Source organism: Homo sapiens, chromosome 10 (assembly GCF_000001405.40).
Source record: "Homo sapiens chromosome 10, GRCh38.p14 Primary Assembly".
Taxonomy (NCBI): domain Eukaryota; kingdom Metazoa; phylum Chordata; class Mammalia; order Primates; family Hominidae; genus Homo; species Homo sapiens.
In genome coordinates, this window is record NC_000010.11 from 48,409,862 (window position 1) to 48,433,968 (window position 24,107).

The following is a 24,107-nucleotide window of genomic DNA, read 5'->3' on the forward strand; positions in this document are numbered from 1 at the left end:
CTCGACTTTTATTATAGATAATTGGCCTTTTGAATGTTTTCACACCACAGAAATCCCTAGAAGAATTTCAAGATGTGTAAGTGTAATAATTAAAATTTTGTTAAGTTAGTACATTTTTCTTAGATTGCTGCTGGACACTTTAGCTGTTCTCTTTTTTCACTCATAAAGTTACATAGTCATGGAGCTCATGGATGCAAATCTTTGCCAAGTGATTCAGATGGAGCTAGATCATGAAAGAATGTCCTACCTTCTCTATCAGATGCTGTGTGGAATCAAGCACCTTCATTCTGCTGGAATTATTCATCGGGTTAGTAGAAGAAACTATCGTCATACTCTTTGTTTTCTCATTGAGGTGAAATTCATGTAACAAAATTAACCATTCTAAAGTGGCATTTTTAGTACATTCACAGTGCTGTACAACTACCACCCATATTAAATTCTAAAATATTTTCATTACCCCCAAAAAAGTCTCCATGTTTCTTAAGCAGTTGTGCATCTTTGCCCTGGCATGATACCAGTCTGCTTTCTGTGTCTATAGATTTGCCTTTATGTTTCCATTTATATGAAATACGGCGTGATGTTTTCAAGATTTCTCCATGTTTACCGTGTATCAATAGTTCATTCCTTTTTATGACTGAATAATATTCTATATACCATATTTCGTTCATCCATTCATCCATCGATGGACATTTGGGTTATTTCTACCTTTCAGCTATTATGGATCGTGCTATGAAAATTCAAGCACAAATATTTGTTTGAATATATATTTTCAGTCCTTTAGGATATACCTGTGACTGGAAGTGCTGAGTCATATGGTGATTCTATAGTTAACTTTCTGAGGAACCATCAAACTGCACAGTGACTGCACTATTTTACATTCCCACTAGCAGTGTATGCGGGTTCCAGTTTCTTCACATCCTTGTCAGTACTTGTTATCTGACTTTTTAAATTCTAGCCATCCTAATGGGTACGAAGTGGTGTTTCTTGTGATTTTACTTTGCATCTCCCTAACGACTAATAATGTTGGGCATTTTTCATGTGCTTGTGGCCATTTGTGTATCTTCTTTGGAGAAATGTGTATTCAAGCCCTTTGCTCATTTTTAAATTGGGTTGTTTGTCTTTTTGTTGTTGTTTTAGCATTTCTTTATGTATTTCATACATGAAACCTTTATCAGGTATATAATTTGTAAATATTTTCTCCCATTCTGTAGGTTGTCTGTTCACTTTGCTGATGATTTCCTTTAATGCACAAAAACTATAATTTTAATGAAATACAATTGTTTATTTCATCACTTGTGCTTTTGGTATCATGTATAAGAATCCATTGTCAAACCCATGGTCATGAAGATTTAGTCTTATGGGCTCTTCTAAGAGTTTTATAGTTTAAGTCTCACATGTAGGTCTTTGATCTATTTTGAGTTAATTTTTTGTCTGGTATGAGGTAAGGTTCCAACTTCATTCTTTTGTATGTGGCAATTTAGTTGTGCCAGCACCATTTGTTAGAGACTACTCTTAACCCATTGAATGGTCTTGGCACCCCTGTCAAAAAACAGTTGGTCATAGATACATGGTTTCATTTTTGGACTCTCAGTTCTGTTTCACATAGCTCCTATGTGCCTGACCATGTATTATACTAGTACCACATTATTTTGATCACTTTTAGCTTCGTAGTAACTTGAAATGGAGAAGTATCAATTCTCCAGCTTTATTCTTTTACAATATTGTTTTAGCTTTTCAGAGCCCTTTGTGATGCCATATGAATTTGAGTATCATTCTATTTCTGCAGAAAGGGCAATTAGAATTCTAATTAGTATTTCATTGCATCTGTAGATTGCTTAGGTAGTTTTGCCATCGTAACAATATTTAGTCTTCCAATTCACAAACATAGGATGTCTTACCATTTCCTTCCTTCTCTTCTTTTTTCTTTTCTTTCTTTTCTCTCCTTCCCTCCCTTCCCCCCTCCCTTCCCCTTCCTTCCTTTCTCCACCCTCTCCTCTCTTCCCCTCCCCTCCCCTCCCCTCCCATTTGTCTTGTCTTGTCTTCTCCATTCTCAGCTCACTGCAACCTCTACCTCCTGGGTTCAAACAATTCTCCTGCCGCAGCCTCCCAAGTAGCTGGGATTACAGGGGCCTGCCCCCACGCCTGGTTAATATTTTGTATTTTTAGTAGAGACAGAGTTTCACCATGTTGGTCAGGCTGGTCTCGAACCCCTGACCTCAAGTGATCTGCCCGCCTTGGCCTCCCAGAGTGCTGGGATTACAGGCGTGAACCACCCCACCTGGCCTCTTTCAGCACTTTAGATGTATCATCCATTGCTATTTGTTTTGCCATGGCTTCCAGTGATAAATCAGCTGTTAAGCTCATTGAGGATCTTTTATAAGTGACAAATGCACCTCTCTTGCTGCTCTCAAGATGCCTTTTTGTCTTTCGCTTTCAACAGTTTGATTATGTGTCTTAGTGCAGATCTCTTTATGTTTATCCATCTTAGTATTCATTCAGCAGCTTGGATATGTAGATTCATGTCTTTTTTGATCAGGATGGAAGGAAGCTAAAAAGAAAAAATAGATTCATATCTTTTATCAAATTTAGCAAATTTTCAGTCATTATTTTCTTAAATATTTTTTCTGCTCATTTTTCTCTTTCTTCTCCTTTTGGAACTCCCATTATGCAAAGTTGATATGCTTAATGGTATGCCATGTCTTGTTTTCTCCTCCACTTTAATGTTTTGTCCCAGGCAGCATTGGGCTATTTACTTGCCTTAACCATGTTTTCAAGGAATGCCTCTGTCTAACCTTGGACCAGGGTCCCACACTGAAAATGTGGCTGCTTTCTTCAAAATCCTTTGCTAGTTAGGGAGGCAGGTAGAGCCAAAGACTAGTTAAAATGCTGGAAATATTTCCCAATGTTTTTTCCCCACCTTTTTATTGTAGTAAATACATATAAAATGTGCCATTTTAACCATTAAATCTACAGTTCTGTGGCATTAAATACATTCATAATGTGCAACCATCACCACCATCCATCTCCAGAATTCTTTTCATCTTGTGAAGATGCAACTCTCCACCCACCAGACAGTAATTCCCTATTCTCCTCTCCCCGCAACCCCCGACAGACATCATTCTATTTTATGTCTATATGATTTTGGCTACTATAAATACCTCATATAAGCGGAATCATGCAGTATTTGCCTCCTTGCAACTGGCTTATTTCACTTAGCATAATGTGCTCAAGGTTTATCCATGTTGTAGCATATGTCAGAATTTTCTTCCTTTTCAAGGCTGAATAATATTCCATTTATGTATATACCATACTTGCTTATCCATTCATCAGTCAGTGGCAATTGGGTTGGTTCCACATTTAGCTCTTTTGAAAAATGCTGCTATGAACATGGTTGTCCAAATATCTCTTTGAGACCCTACTTTTCAGTTCATTTGGGCTACAGCCAGAAGTGGAATTGCCGGATCACATGGTCATTCTTTTTAACATTTTGAGAAACTGCCACACTGTTTTCCATAGCAGCTGTACCATTTTACATTCCCACCAGTAGTGCAGAAGGGTTTCAGTTATTCCTCATTCTTACCAACACTTTTATTTTTTTCATAGTAACCATCCTAAAGGGTGTGAGGTGGTTTCCTGTTTTTAAGTTGCCATTTTCTTGGTTCTGAGTTCACTTGATTGCCGTAAACCTTTGAATAATTTCCAGAATTCTGAAAAAGTTTATTCTGACACTTTGATGTTTTATGGTGCTTCTGTGGAGCTATTTTGGCTGACATCACTGCCTCTCATCAAATTCTTAGTATCACTGTATTTCACTGATTTATATGGAGCAATGTAAAGTTTGTTTTTGCTCTGAAGTGAAGCAGTATACAAAATAAACTGCTGTTATTACCAGTCATTCCAAATTGGGAATTGAATATTACCAAGTTACCAAAATTGAGTATTTGCCAGAATTGTTATATATATATATATATATATATATATATATATATATATATATATTCAGAAATATTTTATATTTTTGTTCTCTGGGATTTTTACCTGCTTTTTTGCTATATAATTTACATGCCATACAATTTATTCATTTAACGTGTACCACTCAGTGTTTATTATATTTGAAGATTGTATGCTCGTTACCACAATCTTAACTTTAGAAAATTCTATTGCCCTAAAAGAAACTCCACATCCACTCATCTTTATTTCCCATTCTTCTGTGTTCCTTTCACCTCTAGCCCTAAGCAAACACTAATCTACTTTCTGTCTTTGTATATTTGTCTATTCTGGACATTTCATGTACATAGAATTATATAATATGTGATATTTTGTGCTTGGCTTATTTTACCTAGCATAATCTTTTCAAGGTTCATTCATGTATTTATTGTGTGTCAGTTCTTCTTGTCATTTTATTGACAAATATTTCACTGTATAGATATATTGTTTATCCATTTATCACTTGATTATAATTTGGGTTGTTACCACTGACTATTACAGGTAATGCTGACATGAACATTTATGTAAAATTTTTTTGTGTGTTGGTATGTTTTGTATTTTAGTTAAATCTAGCTTATTCTTTGAAAAGTATTGAGAGGATTTTTTTTTTTTTTTTTCCTGAGAGACAGAATCTTCCTCTGTCACTCAGGCCAGGATGCAGTGGCGTAATCATAGTTCACTTGCAGCCTTGAACTCCTGGGTTCAATAGGTTGAAAAGAATTTTTTTTTTTTTTTTTTTTTTTTTTGAGACAGGGTCTCTGTCTGTCACCCAGGCATGAGTGCAGTAGCATGAACATGGCTTACTGCAGCCTTTACCTCCTGGGCTCAGTGATCATCCCACTTCAGCCTCCCAAGTAGCTAAGACTATGGACATGTACCACCATGCCTGGCAAATTTTTATTTTTTATTTTTTTGTAGAGACGGGGTCTTGCCATATTGCCCAGGCTGGTCTTGTATTCCTGGCTTCAAGCAATCCAGCTGCCTTGACCTCCCAAAGTGCTGGGATCACAGGCATGAGCCATCATGCCCAGCCTGGAATTTTTAAAAATTATTTAATTCAGTGGAATTACATCTTCCTTCTGAGTCATCTGCGTCAAATAACCTTACTCATGTAATAAAATAAATACAGAGAGAGTTTTCACAGTATAAGACAATTATGTCTTAGGGCTATTGGGGCTTTTTTTTTAAGTGAACAATCCTGCTACAGGCTTATCCTTAATTATCATTGTAAGTGAATTCCTTGTATATTACATATACAGCTGCTCTAATCATTTGTCTAATGCAATCTTTAAATAACATAATAAAAATCTCTTTAAATGGGAGAGTATTTTATCTTCCTGAGCCCCTACTCATACAGTATGTGAAGTAGAGCAGACGAGTGAAACTTCTAGGTTTGGGTTGTTTGTTTCCTGAGTCCTTAGACCGGGGCAGTAATCCAACATTGTGGAAGTTCATTTGATTTTAGTAAAGCACACCCCTCCAAATAGAAAGGTTCCAGATTAATGAGGATAGCAGGTGGCTGGACCAGAAAAACAGACCAAATGGTAGAAGATAGAAAACAATGGAAACAACAAGAACCACAAAAAACAAACACAAAATTACAAAAGAGCAATATTTATGGTAATATGTTAATCGGATTAGTTCCTTAATTTAAAAAGGTCAGATTTTGGCAGCACACAAGGCTCAACAACAACTGCGTATTTCCATAACACAAACATTCGTAGCTAACTTCAAAAGGCTGAAGGCAGAGAGGTTGGCAGACATATACCAGGAAAATGCAAACATTAAAACAAGGGTAACTCTATTTAATGAGATAAAGTTGAATATGGTGGGGTCAGAGAGGAAGTGTTCCTCTCTGAGAATAAAGAGTCTCGCGTTTTCAAGGTGAAAGATACTATCCAATTAGGATACACAATTATACATGAAGTAGGGTTGCTATACAAAAAGCTTAAACTGTAGAAAATAGAAGAATGGCACAAGCACAGTTGTATTGGGATATTCTAACTTACTCCCTTAGTATCAGTACATAAAGTGGTAAAAATGAAGTACATCTGTAGAAAATTTCTTAATGTGATAAAGTGGAGCTAATGAGATCTACTGGGGTCTGTTATCTATTATGAAGAATCTCCCTTTATCTTGGCTTGGGCTCTTTGGGAAACTCTAGAGTGGGGATACGCATTTAAGTTTTTTGCAGGTGGTCTTGAGGCCACGATTGGTACTCATCTCTCTGCTCTACTACTTATTCTAGATTCACCTCCACCCTTGGCTAGTACTTCTGCTAGTCTGAGGTTACTTACTTGGTAAAATAACCTGACCTTTCATCCCTTGGGGGTTCAGGGCAAGTCAGGATTGCTACTGTGAGACCAAAGCTGACGAGGTCCCACCATCTAGATAGTTGCGGGTCACTTTGTCGGAAAGAGAAAGCCAAGTGATGTGCATGGATGGCTCTTCTTTGCTTGGAAGTGACACACATGACTTCTGCTTAGAGTGCATTGACAAAGCTAGCCATAGACTTGCTTAATTTGTAAGGAAACTCGGAAATGTGGGGAGAGCAGACTTCAGCATAGTGGTGAGCCCCAGCCTCTGCCACAGTCTGTTCTTCTGGCTGGCAAACATTCCTTTGCTCCCTTTATTCCACACCTTCTTAAGGGAAATAACCCAAAGTTCTATTCCATCAAGACATTTATCAAATCCAGGCATTGTTCCTCTTGGTCCAGAAACATAGGAACTGGAATGACCAAATTATATGGCCAACCCTATAACCACTGCTCCCCTGCCAAATACCATAGATGGAGTGGTCAGACAGGGCCAGTGTTATCACAGTGAACAATCCCATTTAGAAAACTGAAAAATGCAGTCATTGGTTAGTTGTAATTAAATTCTTCTGTACAGACATTGTGAGTGTCCCTTGCCGTGGGTGGGGAATATTCCTAATCAGTCCTCCTGACTGATCTCTGTGGTTCTCTATAGTACCTGGCTCTACCCTGTGGGAGAGTCATCTTTTTGCTATCCTCATGAATATATCTAAAGTGGATATTGAAGAATGTATTTTCCTTGAGGGCTGCTCACCTTTCTCAGCCTGCTTCTTACCTATAAAAGATTGGGGCCCAAGGGTCATTTTAAGGCCATCCTTCTCAGCCTTGCCACTATTGACATTTTGGAGCAAACAGTTCTTTCTTTTGATGATGGAATGTTTAGTAGCATTCCTGGCCTCTACCCACTAGATGCCAGTAGCACTCCCCAGTTGTGACAATCAAAAATGTTTTCTGACATTGCCAAATATTATTTTGGGGCAAAATTACTGTGAATTGAGAACTCCTGTTTGAAGTGTAGAAGGATCATAGACCTTTGGCGTTAGGTCTGACAGTTAACTAACTCTTTCAGAAATTTAAGAGATTTCTTATCTTTCTGATTGTAGTTCCTTTCATAGTATCTTTTTTAGCTCATGGGTCCTGTATTCTTGGACTTAATTGAGGCTGTCTTCAGTCTTCCTGTAAGCTTTCAAGCTTCTGTTGGCAGACTGAGGCAAATTTATCAATTGAAAATTTTACAGGACTTTTTCCCTGAAAGGGTTTCATAATTATTATGTGAAAATGATGCATAGAAACCAACCCAAGATATCAGTGGCTTAAGGCAATATTTATTGTTTACTTGGGTCTGCAGGGTTGGCTGTGTGACACTGCTCCAAACTGTGGGTCAAGTTCAGGCTTGTCCCATATTCAGGTTTCAGCATCTAAACTGAAGCATACACCAGAGACATCCTTTTCTCATGGTGAAAGGTAGAAGAGCAAGAGCTATGCTGAGTCAAACACATTCCCCCATATTCCATTGGACAAAATAAGACAAGTGACTGAACCTATCGATAGGGTGAGGACACAGTCTGGGGTGAGCAGGAATATTTGCAGAACAATCTACCATACTTTCTTCCAGGGGTCTAGTAGCATTTAGCTTTTCCAAAATGGCAAGACCCTGAAATTCTAGGCTCTGTTCCCTTTTATTTCTGCTTTAAAAGGTGGCTACTTCTTTTAAATGCAACCAGTAGCTACCAACACAAACTACTGAAGTTTTGCTTTCCAGTCTTTTCTAGAGCAGGGTTCAACAAACTTTTTCTGTCAAAGCCATGTAGTAAATATTTTAGGCTTTGTGGATAATAGTCTGCGTCACAGCTACAAGACTCTGCCATTGTAACACAAAAGCAGCCATAGGTGATCTGTACTTGAATGAGCATGACTGTGTTTCAGTATCAGCACTTTCTTTACAAAGCAGGCAGGCCTTAATTTGCCAGCCCCTGTGCTAGAGCTTCAGGTTCATTGTACAAGTGGCTGTGCAGGTGACAGCTTCATGAAATGTTTTGTTACTACGTAACCTAGATCACCTTTCCAGCCTTCGATGTGAGTTTCCCTGCTGCTCAACTGCTAAGCCAGGATCTTATGTTTTTATAATAATTAACACCCCACCTCTGACACCAGTTTCAGTGTTAGAATAGACTCAGCTGTACTGAATAACAGATAAACCCTTAATTCTCAGTGGCTTAGCACGACTCAGGCTTATTTCCTTTGCTGAATGTGTGGTGCAGATCATGGTGGGTTTGTGGACTGTGCGTTTACATAGATGATCAGCAACCCAGGCTGCCAGAGAATCCTCTGGAAAGTTCCTAATCACCAAAGCAGGGCAGGAGATGACAGGAAGTTGTGCACTGGCCCTTCTCTTCTTTACTTCCACTCACATCCCATGAACTAGAACTACCCACGTGCCCTTGCCTAACTGAGGAAGCTAGAAAAATTGGGGGAAGAAGACAGAATGTTGGGTTAGTTCCACTGCCTGCATAAATTCTAAGTTGCTATTCTTATATATAGTTAGCAGTGTAATTAACAGCTGTAAGGTACATATTGATATATATGGATGAATTTCAATTAATAGTCTTTGAGGCTTTTTTTGACAATTTTTTTGCTTAACAAAAATATCTGTCTTTAAAAATTGTTACTTTGCTCTTAATTTTTTCACAATGAAGTGCTTGAAATTGGAATGTTATTTCTAAATTGGAATCTGCTAGTATAAAGAGCCAGTAACCTTCAACCATCACACTAAACATTGAAGTAGTATCAAAGCTTGTAATATTTATTCTTAAACATGCAGTGTTTCTTTGCTGAGGTACTGTATTTTAGAAGTATTAGCAACATTATATTTACAGAATACCAATAATGAAAATTTTTTTCTTCTGTTTCATTAAGACCTTTGAATTGTTGGTATATTTAATTTCATAAAACCACTAGATTACATATCTTCTAAACCCATCCATGATTGCCTGTCGAAATATGTTAAAGACAACATACATGCTTTTCTGTATGTTAACATTACAAAAGTAATACAAAAGTAATAGTTGTCTTTCAAGCAGGCTATTTTCCTTTTTTGTATTAATCGGTGATATTTAATATGTATACTGCATGTCAGTACAGGTAATACAGTGCATTTGTGTTGTGGATTTATGCTTTCTTCGTTTTTTGGTCCTTTGGCTTATAATAGTATTCATCAAAGCTAACAGGCAAAGTATGTTAAACATGAAGCCATGAGTGTTTATGCTGCTGCCTGACTTTTGATGGGCACAGCACAGAATATGTTAAAGTAGGGGCCAGGTGAAAAATTCTGAATTATTCAGTAGTATCTATAGCAAGTAATTTTATAGATTAGTGGCACCAAGGCAATGGTGTCCTACTTCTACAAACAGACAGAAATTTTATAGCAAATTTGTGTGACTTCAGGTGGGAAATCAGGGATGGAAAAATGGATAATGACTCTTCTAGTCCTTTGGAACTGGGTATCTGCCAGTCTAAAAGATCAAATAACATTTGTTAGGATTGACAAGATGGCTCGTTGTTGACTTAAAACATCTGTATAAAGCTTATTGTGACTTTAAAATGAGATTTTAAAAATATTGGTAATATGTTATGCAAATGAATATAAATGCTAACTTATGACTTTCTTTTACTATAGTAGTTTTTTTATGTGAGCTTTGCGATGTCTTTTCAAATCCCTTTTACTCTAACCAAAAATGTCTAGCTAATCATAATTTCTAGCAATTAAAACATTACTAACTTCTCTAATAACTGTATGTATTCATAAATTTTAAATCCCATAAAACTGACTTCTCAGGTTTGCCTTTTAACGATGAATCAGTGCAGTAATATTACAGTGAGAAAAACGAACAATTAACATGAATGTTTTGCAAGGGATAGTATAACTTTATTGTGAACTGTAGGATTTTCCTATATATCATGGCAGTCATTTTTTAATTTTTATTTTCTGAAGGACTTAAAGCCCAGTAATATAGTAGTAAAATCTGATTGCACTTTGAAGATTCTTGACTTCGGTCTGGCCAGGACTGCAGGAACGAGTTTTATGATGACGCCTTATGTAGTGACTCGCTACTACAGAGCACCCGAGGTCATCCTTGGCATGGGCTACAAGGAAAACGGTCAGCACACACATTTATTTGAAATATTTTTCTGATTTAGCTTTTTTCTTTATTCAGTAGATTTTTAATGTAAATACTTAAGCAGAAGTACGTTGAGTTAAATGTGTATCATTGTTTGAAATGTGTATCAAAAGTTTGCAGGTAACTATAAATTTTTTCATCAATGTTTGGAAAAACTTGGGGCCCTTATTTGTTTAAATACGGATACATAACATCAGTACTACCATTGGATGAAGAATTTGTTGCCGTGGCCCTGAGACAGAATTTATGCTCTTTGCTTGCCTATAACTTGAAAATGAACATTTCTAACATGGTCTCAGGGATGTATAGTGTACTGACAGTTTATTATTAGTGTACATCAGTGATATTTGCCTATATTTCCAACCCCATGAAACTAAAGCTCATAGCAGTAGCACTCATTGTAAATTTTAAGAGATACATTAAGGCCTCTGCAAAGCTGATGGATAATTAAGGTGACCTCTTGAAGGAAGCAGTAAAGTTTCATTAAAACGTTGTATCCAGCCTTAAGGAAATGACTTTTAGTATTTTGTATGGGTATATCCAGTTGTATCAATCAACCTAAGAATCAGTGTTGAACAAAATTATCTGGCATGTAGATCATGAATTTAAACATTTTGTATGCATATACCTACTTATATTTAATTTAGGAAGAAATTTTGTTGAGTCTTAGAAATTTAGGAGATGAATAAATCTGCTAAGAAGCATGGGATTTTATGGAAATAAACCATCGTTTTAAAAAATGTGGTGACTTCATCCAAAATACTACCAAGAATAAAACCTAGACATTTTTTCTGGCAAGGAATCTGGAATAGCAGTTCATTTTGAATCAGGAAATTGTAATAAGTCAACTTTTAAGATTCTTTTTTTATAAAAGATACAATTAAGCTGAGCTTGATTTTCTGAGCTGATTAAAAACAAATACTTTAAACATTTGCTATTAATTTTTTATTCTTAAGTAAATATGCTGTTCTTTTTACTTACACTCTACCTGAAATTTGAAGTTTTTTATTTTTTGGGAATTGATAACTTCACGTGACCCACCAGCATGAAGATTGCTTTTGCATTTGCTGTAATTGATTGTCATAGATATGGTGTTATGTGTCAGTGTCCTATAAATATGATCTTAGGATAGCTCCCTGCCAGAAATTAGCACTAAGAAAAACTGTCATATATAGAATTGAGGCTGGGTATGGTCGCTTACACCTGTAATCCCAGCACTTTGGGAGGCCGAGGCTCGTGGATCACTCGAGGCTAGGAGTTCTAGACCAGCCTGAGCAACATGGCAAAACCCTGTCTCTACTGAAAGTACAGAAATTAGTCAGGTGTGGTGGTGCACACCTGTAATCCCAGCTATTCTGGAGGTGAGGCATGAGAATCGCTTGAACCCGGGAGGTGGAGGTTACAGTGAGCCGAGATTGCACCACTGCATTCCAGCCTGGGCGACAAAGCAAGACTCTGTCTCAAAAAATAAAATAGAATAAAAAATGAACTGACATATGGTTCCTCTTTAGTTAAGAATTATGTAGATCACCTTCTTGCCTTCCCACTCCCACCCTAGGAAACGGAGTCAAATGTAATGCTTAATGATTATAACTACATTAGCCAGCAAGGTTAAACATAAGTACTTCCTCCTTTTAATGACACCTCACACTCATTTTATTTATCTTATTTATTTATTTATTTATTTATTTATTTATTTATTTATTTTTGAGATGGAGTCTCACTCTGTTGCCCAGGCTGGAGTACAGTCATGCCATCTTGGCTCACTGCAGCCTCCACCTCCTGGCTTCAAGCCATTCTCCTGCTTCAGCCTACGAGTAGCTGGGACTATAGGCATGTGCCACCATGCCTGGCTAATTTTTGTATTTTTAGTAGAGACAGGGTCTCATTATGTTGGCCAGGCTGGTCTTGAACTCCTGACCTTAGGTGATCCACCTGCCTCAGCCTCCCAAAGTGCTGGGATTACAGGAGTTTGAGCCACAACGCCTGGCCTCCCACCCATTTTAACAACTTTGCTTTATGTACCTTTTATTGCAGGCTACTCAGAGCATTTTGGAAAGCAGTGTAATCAATATATTTTTAACTGCTTAATAGACTAAGCAGTTAGTTTACAGCTAGAGTTGTGCATGAATCAGACTTATGTTCCTAGTCTTCACTGGCCCAGATAATATCTTCTCTCATGCTTGCAGCTTTCAAAATACTTTTGTTTAAAAATGAGCTTTTCTGAAAGTTACCAAATAAGTTGTAAGCTGGATATTTAAAGTTTAACATTCTCTATAAAATCTGTAGAGAAGATTTATTCTAATAGATTTTTGTCAAAAACGGAAACCTTAGAAAAAATTTTTCTCTGAGGCACTAATTTATAAATATTAAATTTTTTTTCTAAAATCTTATCCTTGAAAGCTGAACCATGACATAAATATGAAAATATTCATTCATTTTAATATGACATTTTAGGGAAACTTTAGTTCCACAGTATTTCCAAAAGTAATTTCCAGTTTAGCTCTTAAGACTCTTCAGTGAACTGGCAGCCTTTTAATAAGAATGTACTGTATTAGAAAGTACAGGCTTTAATTTTCTAAGTCCTTTAACATGAGTAAAGGGCACGTGTCTTTCTGACATCTATTTGTGCCGTTTTCCACTTGTCATTTTAAAGAATTGGGACCTTCAGATGTCACAACTAAATGCAAGTTTCTAAGGCTTTTCCTTCTAAATTGCTCATTCTTCCCTCTTTTCCTGTTACACTGCAAGCACTTACTCTCTCCTTTTTGTGTGATGTTCAAACCCAAAGGCATAAAATGCCACGATGTGTTGTCAGTTTCCCTTAGTAAGTGGAGATTCCAAATTGTCTGTTTCTGTGTCTAGCAGATTCTTGTCAACATTGATTGGGATTCCCATTTACAGTTGGCAAGGGTCATCAGTAAGTCTTCCAGGAGACTCTTCATACTCAATTCGTGGGAACTGACTTACTGTATCTAGCCAAAACTAACTTCTTAAGCCAAAAGCAGTTTGGTTTTATGGGTTTAAAAAACTTTAGGTAGGAAACATGAAATACATTTCTCTTACTAAGTTTTCCTTGATTAGTTGTTCATTCTCTGTGCACTTGTTCCTTTTGGGATAGTAGGGTAAATGTAGCATGATGTTGCCAAGAAAACAAATGGACTTTTAATTCAGAACAAGCATAGCACTTCTCAGTTAAATGTATTTGGGAAATCCAGTTTAAAAATTCCAAAGAGCTTTAGATTAACTTTTTTATCATAATTATTCATAGAGATTATTTCTGTTAGATATTTTAATATGCTGAATTATTTTCTCATGCTTTTTTCTTAGAGAGTATAATGCACAGTTGAACTTCTAAATAGTATAGTATAACAATTTTATTTTTATAATTTTACTACCTCATGTACATTTTTATTTACAAAGTTTGTGTTTGGTTCTATTTCATATTTTATAAACAAGTTCTCAGGGACAAACATGCAGGGTTTTTCTATTTATGCAATTTCTGTGCATAGCTCTCACTTTGAAATTAGATATGTAGTTAAAATGCCACACTTTACATTTTCTTTTGTGAACCAGACTTTCAAAAAATAATTTGTGTTTTAAATTATTCCGTTAGCTAAAGTTACAATCACTTTTTTTCTTTTCGTGACGTTTTGCAGTTTTTATATAATGCAGTCATATTATGCTTCTTTGATTTTAATGACCTTTTGCTTTGCTTTTCCTTCTTTTGTGCTGCAAACATATAGTGGATTTATGGTCTGTGGGGTGCATTATGGGAGAAATGGTTTGCCACAAAATCCTCTTTCCAGGAAGGGACTGTATCCTTGTGCTGCTGCAGCAGTTAATTAGTTAGGCGATGAACTTCTTTATGTTCTCTAATGAAAATGAATATGCTACATTTACACAGATGGGTTTTTAAACAGGCATAAAGTTTGTGGCTATTATAGTTCAAAAATTGTTGAGATAAGAAGCTGAAATATTTGTAGGCTGCATCTGGCAGTAGGACATACAGTCTCTGCTGGTAGTCAGAGCACATTCACTGTCACTCATTTTTATTTTATACTGCTTTTTATAATTTTAAAGTATACATGGTGTGTGTGATTTTATTTCTTTCTTTTTTTTTTTATTTTAACCAAAATCTTTATGTTAATGTCATTGCATTTTGTTTTCAGTTGACATTTGGTCAGTTGGGTGCATCATGGGAGAAATGATCAAAGGTGGTGTTTTGTTCCCAGGTACAGATCGTATCCTTATCTTTGGCCTAAAATGTAGTTTCTAAAGGTCAAAATGTATGATAGCACTTCAGTTTGGTCAGGTATAATGTATTTTGTCTCTCCCTAATATATTGTTAAATTACTCTTAAAATACCACCTACTATTTGACATAGACTTTTCCTTCCGTTATTTATTGTTTCATATGTTAATTCTGAACCCTGCTCAATTGTAATTATGCACAATTACTTGCTGGCTTTGAGTTGATTTAACCTAAATCAAAAATCATGGCTTGCATTAAAAATTTATAATAATTATACACTTAAGTCTAGAAATACGTACAACTTAATATGAATTTTGGAGCTGTCTGTTGCTTCTGGCCATCCTTTTGTTTTGTCCCCTACCTCCTTTTTGTTAATGTTCTGTGTGGTTTGTGTCTTTTGATTGTTGTCTCATTACTCACATAACATACTGACCCTTTCATCTGAGAATTTCAGCAGTAGTAGTTTTGTATGGTAACGATAGCTTTGGATTCATACTTTTTGTTCATCCCACTACTTTTAATATTTATATTAACAGTGATTTGTTATGTGTTTACCAGCTAGTAACACTTAGAATTGTTTCAGGAGGAAGAATGGGAAAAGGCATATTCACAAGGTTACAATAAGTGAGTTTTAGGCCTTGGCCTTCAGGGTCCTGGAGTGTAAAGACTAGAGGAAAGGAGACCAAGAAATCCTAACCTTACAACTTAGCAAAAAACTGAATCTTTTTTATAAGGGTCAGAGCTTTAGAAAATTTTTTTAAACCTAAGCTAAACAAAGAATGGCAAAAGAAAATGCCACTTTTATCGAAGCCTTTATTTTTATTACAACTGATTATTTTCTGTTAGTGTAGAAAACTCAGTAAAACAGGATGTGTTCTAGAAATATTGTCTAGGAGATATAATCATGTTTTCTGATAAATTGACAGAAAAGGAAAAATTTTGTATATTATTATAGCATTGTGTGCAGTTTGCAGTTAGAGCCACTATGGATAGTAATTGTCATTATTCTTAGTTGCTTATCATTTTATTTAGAATTTGTGAGTTTAAGCTTCCATTTTAAGGTAAAATCAGTTAGTTTGAACACACAATAAATAAGGTTAATAAAGCTTATTTATTGATCATTTCTGTCCACCTACAATCATTGCCTTTTGCAGGGTGCCTGTGAGATATAAAATTTATAACTGCCACATCCTTTCTTAGGAATTTTTAAATTTCTATTTTCTTGTAATATGAATATGACTAATGTATTGAACATTAGTTATGGAGTATTTTTCTTAGCTACTTGATATTAGATATTGATCAGTGGAATAAAGTTATTGAACAGCTTGGAACACCATGTCCTGAATTCATGAAGAAACTGCAACCAACAGTAAGGACTTACGTTGAAAACAGACCTAAATATGCTGGATATAGCTTTGAGAAACTCTTCCCTGATGTCCTTTTCCCAGCTGACTCAGAACACAACAAACTTAAAGGTACTTTTTACAAATATGTACATTTAATCCCATTTGGGGTGTGTAGTGTGTGTGTATGGGTTTGTGTGTTTATATGTATTCATATTCTTATGGGACATGAACCCAAGGTTTTCTCTGGATGGTGGGGAAAAAAATGAGGTTTTTGTTTTTTTTTTCTTTAATCTTATATATTTTAATCATATGTATAAGATAATTTTACAGTAATATTTTTAAAACATATGCTTTTTAAAAAATCTCAAATTGCTGAAAGTTATTAATAATTTGAGAATCTTTACAAATATATGTACATTAACACCATTATGTTTGCAGCCAGTCAGGCAAGGGATTTGTTATCCAAAATGCTGGTAATAGATGCATCTAAAAGGATCTCTGTAGATGAAGCTCTCCAACACCCGTACATCAATGTCTGGTATGATCCTTCTGAAGCAGAAGCTGTAAGTTATTTTCTTAATGTTTACAGAACATATTGCATTCTTAGAGTTAGAATGACAGTTAGGTTTGGAGGAGACCTTTTAATTTTAAATAAAAATGTAGATACATGATGATGATGTTTTTCTGTTTCTTCATGAAGACTACGTCAAATAAACTAATGAACATATTCGAGCCCCTCCTACACAAAATAAAGTTACCTCCCACTGTTTTTTGCAATCTTGCCTGGATACCTAACCAGAGAACTAGGATGTTGAATGCTCTGGGGGAACATCCTAACTCAGGTATAAAACAAATTACTGTATCCAAAGGAAAACAGAATTCTGTGATCTGTGATATAAATAAAATGTGGCAATTTCAAGAGCTAGAAGAAAAGAAAAAAGACAGTTAAACATTTTATTTCCTGCAATGAAGGAGTCTTCCTAAACTATTATGTCTGTATAAGTAAGTTGATGATTGATCAGTCTTGATCTAATGATATATTTTTATAAGTCATCTGTGTGGCTAATATTTCAAATAACTACAGAGTTAAAATACTCCCAGCATACTGACTTGGTTATTATTGCCTTGTGTTTTTCAGCCACCACCAAAGATCCCTGACAAGCAGTTAGATGAAAGGGAACACACAATAGAAGAGTGGAAAGGTACATTCGTCAGATTCTTAGAGGGAAAACTGTGAAGGAGCTTCTGGTTTTTATATGGTGATTTATTATCATGTTAGAGAAATTTGTGACTTTAATATGCATAACCGAAATGTGGTAATATTAATATTTTTACATAAGTAGAAAGTAAGTCTGCTTCCTTCCTTAACTTAATCTTAAGTTCCCAAGTTTCCCACCCCAGACACAGACACATTAGTGCTCTGTCTCATATTTTTTTCCATGGTTTGTGAATACACAAATGTGTTTAGTGTCTCCCACCTCTCCTCTTCCACCCTTTTAAAATCACGTATGGTTGTGTACGGTGTATGCTATATGTACTTGCTTTGTTTATTTATTATATATTTTTTTGAGTTGGAGTCTCGCTCTGTCACCCAGGCTGGAGTGCAGTGGTGTGATCTCGGCTCACTGCAAGCTCTGCCTCCCGGGTTCACGCCATTCTCCTGCCTCAGCCTCCTGAGTAGCTGGGACTACAGGCGCCTGCCATCACACCCGGCTAATTTTTTTGTATTTTTAGTAGAGACAGGGTTTCACCATGTTAGCCAGGATGGTCTCGATCTCCTGACCTCGTGATCCACCCGCCTCGGCCTCCCAAAGTGCTGGGATTATAGGCGTGAGTGCTTTGTTGATATAATCAGATATCTGGAAGGTTATTCTCTTTTAGTTCACGTATCTGCCTCTCTTGCTTTAATAACTGGTTAGTGTTCTGCTGTATGAATATGTCACACTTTATATATCCATCTCCCTCTTGGTGACCATTTAAATTGTGTCCAGTCTGTTGCTGTTAGAAACAACTCTGCAATATTCATGTTCACATATGAGAACATGCCTGGAAGAAAAATCCTGGAAGGAGATGTTCTGAGCCAAAGATATTTTTCAGTTATTTCCAAATTACTCTCCAAAGAAATGGTAGTAGTGTACACTTCCGTCCATGTTATATAGGAGTCTCTCTTTGCCCTCACCCTTGCCTACAGAATGGGTTAATTTTTAATATTTGTAAATCTAATGTAGTTTTATTCTATTTTATGAATGTGGCTGAAATTAATCATGCTTTGATAGTCATGGAAGTTTTCAAATATTTCTTCAAAAGGTGCCCTGGGACATGTGGGTCAGGTAATTTTTAGGTCCCGTTTACTTCCATTTGTGTTATTGTCCTTCAGTGTTTTGACCACTTTTGTAACTGCGTGACTTTGAGTAAATCACTCCCCCTTCATCTCACCCTCCTACACTGCCCCCTGCATTTTACCTCATCTTAAAATAGAGGCAGAAGACCTGTTATTAAGAGTTGTCTCTAAATCCTGGGAAAGGAAAGGGGACTGGGGAGGTATAAACATGAATAAGTGACCCATCTATAAATGTATTTTGCTAAGCATGAATTTGATTCTTTCTTAGAAATTGAAGAGATTTAGAGATTGGTTTTCTCTGAACTTTGGGAAACCCATGGTTAGCAGAGCCCGTGATAAAGTTAGAAGAATGACAAAATGATAAAATTGGATAGAGTCTGCTGCATTTGAATATGTAATGTGCATTTGAATATGTATAAAGATATAGCTCTGTACTGAGTATGTATGAAAACATTAACCTAATATTTTTACATCCTACTAATTTACAGTAGACGATGAAGTATTTTGTAGAATCTTGTGGTTTTTTTGGTTGTTTTTTTTGTTTGTTTGTTTTTTTGAGACAGGGTCTCACTGTGTCCCCCAGGCTAGAGTGCAGTGGTATGATCATGGCTCACTGCAGCATCAAAACTCCTGAGCTCAAGTGATCCTGCTGCCTCAGCCTCCCCCGTAGCTGGGATCACAGGTGTGATCCACTGCACTTGGCTAATTTTGTTTTTTTTTTTTGAGACAGGGTCTCACTGTGTTGCCCAGGCTGGTTTCAAACTTCTGGGCTTAAGTGATCCTCCTGCCTCAGCCTCCCAAAGTGCTGGGATTATAAGTCTTAAGCCACTGCGCCCAGCCTAATTTTTAAAAAAAAATTTTGTAGAGATGGGGTCTCACTGTGTTGTCCAGGTCATAGACTCTTAATAGGCCAGCAGTTGTAAGGCACACCATTATGTGCCACAAAGAAAAAAACACCTTCGGTTGTACAGCACCATTGGTTATAAGATATAGTCAATTTCAGAGATTAAACTGTGAAAAAAGTACATCTTAAAATCAGTGAGATACAGTGTTTTCATTTGTATAAGGATATATTTGGGGGTTTTGATTGCTTTAAAAACATTTACCTTTATTCTGTATCCTTTACTCCTAGCCCCAGGTGCATGTCAGTAATTACCCACAGACTGCCTTTTTCAAGATCTACTTAAGAGTTTTAGCGCATAGCAGAAAGAAAGATTAATTGCCAAAGCCATTAATTACAGATGGCTTTGCCTAGTTAGTGCTCCTAATTAGTTTTGGTTCTTCTGCCTTAATCCCTTTGTGCTTTTTCCCAGAGGAGTGCTATTTTCTCTCTTAAAAAATCCTCTTACTGCAAATGTTTATCATTCCTTTTTGTTTCTTTGAAGAAAACCATCTCTTATTCTCTCCTTTATCAGTGCTTTCTATTTTTCTCCTTCCAAGCCTTAAGTTACTATAGCAAACAAACTTATCTCCAGTTGTTGTTCATTCCAACATATTCATTTGTTTTACCTTATTACCAATATAAATGTCATACTCTGTAATCAGGGATTCTTTATCAGAATTTTATTCTTCAGGAATTAACACAGACTCCTTGAAATTCGATGCAATATTTTTTGTTTGTACATTTTTCTCAGAAGAGGGTTCACTACTTTTATACAATTCTCAAAAGATTCCATGACCCAAAGAAGATGATAAATAGTGTTGATGTGGCATCCACCATTAAGGTTAAGTGTGGTGTGCCCTGTGAGTCTGAATGTCTACTTAAGAACCTTAAGTAGACATTAAGAACCTTAAGAAGGTTTTTTGTTTGTTTTTGTTTTTTTGTTGTTGAGATGGAGCCTTGCTCCGTTGCCCAGGCTGGAGAGCAGTGGCGCAATCTCAGCTCACTGCAACCTCTGCCTCCCAGGTTCAAGCAATTCTCCTGTCTCAGCCTCCCGAGTAGCTGGGACTGCAGGCGCCTGCCCCCAAGCCCGGCTAATTTTTGTGTTTTTAGTAGAAATGGGGTTTCACCTTGTTGGTCAGGCTTGTCTCAAATTCCTGACCTCAGGTGATCCACCCACCTCGGCCTCCCAAAGTGCTGGGATTACAGGCATGAGCCACCACACATGGCCGAAGGTTCTTCTTAAGTAGACATTCAGACTCACAAGGCACATCGCAGTTAACATCAGAATCACTTCTGATGATAATATAAGTGAAGAATATAAGACAGGAGGCGCATATATTAATACCAGCAGAGCAGCTCCCAGTGTGTCTCTTCAGTTGGAACAGTTGTTGCAGTGGTCTACTTGCTGTCCAGAAGCCTGATAAGAGAAAAAGATTCCCATGGAGAAATGTTCTTCGAAGTGATAACCATGCTTACTCATAAGGAGTTGAAATGTAGCTTACCTGCTAGTTTTCCTCCAATAAAAATGTGTTTATCTTTCATTCTGATTTGTTGTGAAGCTTTTGCACACTCTAATTTAAATCTTGGTAGCATATATCTAGTTGAGTACCCACAGTGCACCAGGCTCTATTCCAGGGCCCAGGAAATGGAAGTCAGTAAGACACGTGGTTCAAGCCCTCCCTGAGACAGATGGTAGTACAGAATGGTATGTGGTATGATGTGCTGTAGCACAAGTTGCTGGTAGAGTGAAAAAGAAAGCTTCTACCCCAGCACTATCAAACCAACTTCAGAAACAGTGAATTACAGGAAAGATTAGTACTTCCTTTTAATATGATCCATTGTTGAGTGTCAAGGAATTGTTATTAATTAACATCCTTGAATCTTAGGCCGACATTTAACTGACTGTCATTGTAAGGACACTGTTTGAAGTACTTCACATGTATAAAAATTTCCACTTAAACCATACATGCGTTGTGAGATTGGCTCTTAGACTTTGAAAAGTTCATTTTTGTTTACTTCTTTTACAGAATTGATATATAAGGAAGTTATGGACTTGGAGGAGAGAACCAAGAATGGAGTTATACGGGGGCAGCCCTCTCCTTTAGGTTGGTTACAATATAAGCTTGGTTAAGATTACAGTTTACTTCTTGTGTTGTAATCTTCAGTGGCCTGAAACCTGCAGTTCTTCCCATATTTACAAAATCATTATTATTCCAGGCTTAATAAGTATAAGGAAATACAGTTTTGTTTTTTCTACTAATACATTATACTAATATATCAGTAACTGTTCATAAGATGCACATCTTTTTCTATGATACTGACATTCTGAAGAACAGAAATTTAAAAACTTTTTGTTGGCATTGTTGCTGGGTCTTTAAAGAGGAAACTTCTCAAAATTCAATATACATACCTTTCTATGATCTTGACAGTCTTTACTTTGGATAAATAAAAGCTTCACTGCAAAATTTAGTACATGTAATACCAAATTGCTGTCTTTCTCTTTTTGATATTATTGATTTGTTGAATGAAGGCAATAACATTAAAACCATCACTAGAAAGTATTCTTTCTCTAAGAAGAAAACTGGGTTTGTAGGAGTTAAAACTTTTTTTTATCATAAGCTGATCTTATATTTAATGTTAGTACAAGTAAAAGTATAAAGAATAGAGGGGAAAAGTTAAATGGCAGGTAACATGTACACTAAGTACATACCACATAACAGACACTAGTGGTTTATATACTTTATTTCATTCAGCCCCTAAGATCCTAAGGTATAGGATTATTGCACACATGTTATGGATGAGGAAACTAAAGTTCAGAAATTTGAAGTAACATAAGATTCCAAATCTATTATGTAGATGAACTAATACAGTAACTTCAGAGTGTGTGGTTTTTTCAGCCTCCCATTTTGTTATCTGGCTGGCAACAGAGACTTCTCTGGCTACAGAGGTTAGGACAGTTGTATGAAGGAGGTGAAATTTGAGCTGAGCCTTAAAGAGTGAGTAGTATTTCAAAAGATCTTGATTTTGAAGTAAAACTATGCCATTTTAATTCCTCAGAAACTTCTACTTTTGAGGAAAAAAATAGATGTTGTATCTAGCATCTTGTATATGGGTAAGGTTTTTTAAACTATAGCGACATTGTATACTATAAACATAATTGTTTAAGCCATTTTTTGTGGCTTGCTTTGACATTTTTGGTTATATATTTTAGAGTTGTATATTTTAAATCTTTGATCAAGAATGCAATCTTCCAGATTATAGTGTAGATCCTGTTGAATATATGAATTGGTTTTGACCGCTTTTACCTATTTTGGAAATGGCCTTTTCTCTACAATTTACTTATAACAAATTTAAAGCTCTATTATAAATGCTTTGTGTAATTAATTAGCTTTGTATTGCTATATAGTAGTAGTAGTAACAATTGTTCATGATGGAGGCTCAGGTGGGATTTGAAAAGTTCATTATGTGGGACAGTTTTATACTTTAGCATACTATCCAAGTGAGTGGCACAGCTGGAGTGCCAGATGTTTGAGTAAATGTAATAATTTCATGAGTTAGAGCATTTGTATTTGTTCTTAATTTGTAAGTGAATAATTTGAATCTTAGTCCAGCACTTGCTTATGATCACAAAATAAGTCAGTGAAAAAGATAGAAATTGAGGTTTCTAGACTTTTTCTGGATCCTCAGTTATAGCTTGCAAAGACGAGTATTAGCAAATTAAGCTGTTATAAAAATATTCTGCTCTTGATTTTGTACTAAAACAGAAGGAGTAGTGTTTGGTAAATCAAAATACCAGATAACCACAGTACCATTTCCACTTGATTTTTAAAAGGAATTTTATTCTTTTTCCCTGTCGAGTGCCTTCCTATCTTTGTTTTGGTTTGGCTAATAGTAAAGTAAGTTTACCTGCCTTGAGTGTATAGAGGCTCACTTAAGAGAGGAATGACCCATGTGAGACTAAAGATTTTCCATATTATTACCATTCAGATATTTGAGAATTTACTGTATTGCTTTAAAGAGAAAACAAGTGTGTGTTTTTTCCCCTTAGGTACTTGATTTTTAGATTAAAAAGTTAACAATGCATTTAAAAGTCAATTTTTATCAGATTAAGACATTTGGGTAAAATAATAGACCCTGAACTAGAGGCATATATAAAAATTGTATATGTTGGAGCCCTTTTATGGTTTGAATGTTTCAGTACAAGTCTTAGAAACTAGTCATTGTGTACTATGTATGGTACACAGATATACCATACTGTTCAGTCAGAAAAGGCTCATTCCAAGTATTGATTGAACTAAATAGAATATACTATCTGAATTTCACTCTGACTGGGAAGCTAATGGACCTTTCTTGGGTCTAGGAGATTATCACCTCTTTTACCTCTCATCTCTCAGGCCTGAAATGCTCATCCTGCTTTTCTCTTCCGTTTCAGCTCCCATCACATGCTTTGTCTCTTGTGGTTCCATTCCTTTCTGTATCCCAGTCCCCTCCCTAAAGATTTTCCTATTCCCACTACACTGCCTATTTTCTTTTTGCATTTGAAGAAAAGCTCACAGAAGACTTTTCATATTGAAGTGTTTCATTGCTCATCTGGACAGAATGGAGGGATGATCTCAAATACAGATGCTGGGTTCAGGAGCAGTGGTTTTCAGCCCATTTGGTTTCAGCATCTTTGGGTGCCTGAACCTCACCCTCAGAAATTCTGCTCAGTGTTCCATTTGAAGACCATTGATTTTATTTCATAAATGTATTCTTGAGAACTTTTAAGTAACTTGCATTATTCCAATTTGGAATGACCCTTAT

General features: G+C 36.2%; 2 protein-coding genes across 29 annotated transcripts in view; one reads left to right on the forward strand and one right to left on the reverse strand.

The window, feature by feature from the left end:
* Positions 1–24,107, forward strand: part of MAPK8 (mitogen-activated protein kinase 8) — a 132,684-nt gene that overhangs the window by 103,185 nt on the left and 5,392 nt on the right. For 13 of the 26 annotated variants that reach the window (XM_047425482.1, XM_047425480.1, NM_139046.4 and 10 more), the window contains 8 exons: positions 18–76; positions 169–307; positions 10,294–10,459; positions 14,653–14,724; positions 16,027–16,209; positions 16,519–16,643; positions 17,219–17,282; positions 21,332–21,409. In XM_047425482.1, the coding sequence (XP_047281438.1) occupies positions 18–76; positions 169–307; positions 10,294–10,459; positions 14,653–14,724; positions 16,027–16,209; positions 16,519–16,643; positions 17,219–17,282; positions 21,332–21,409 (886 nt within the window). Of the gene's footprint in view, positions 1–17; positions 77–168; positions 308–10,293; positions 10,460–14,226; positions 14,299–14,652; positions 14,725–16,026; positions 16,210–16,518; positions 16,644–17,218; positions 17,283–21,331; positions 21,410–24,107 lie in introns of all 26 variants that reach the window. The other 13 variants (NM_001323302.2, NM_139049.4, NM_001323327.2 and 10 more) reach the window with 4 other exon arrangements.
* The window catches only part of ARHGAP22 (Rho GTPase activating protein 22), a 226,435-nt gene continuing 222,297 nt past the window's right edge, over positions 19,970–24,107 (reverse strand). For all 3 annotated transcript variants that reach the window (XM_024448100.2, XM_011540013.4, XM_017016476.2), the window contains one exon: positions 19,970–20,721. In XM_024448100.2, coding sequence (XP_024303868.1) covers positions 20,465–20,721 — 257 coding nt within the window. In that variant the 3' untranslated portion in view covers positions 19,970–20,464. The remainder of the gene's footprint in view (positions 20,722–24,107) is intronic.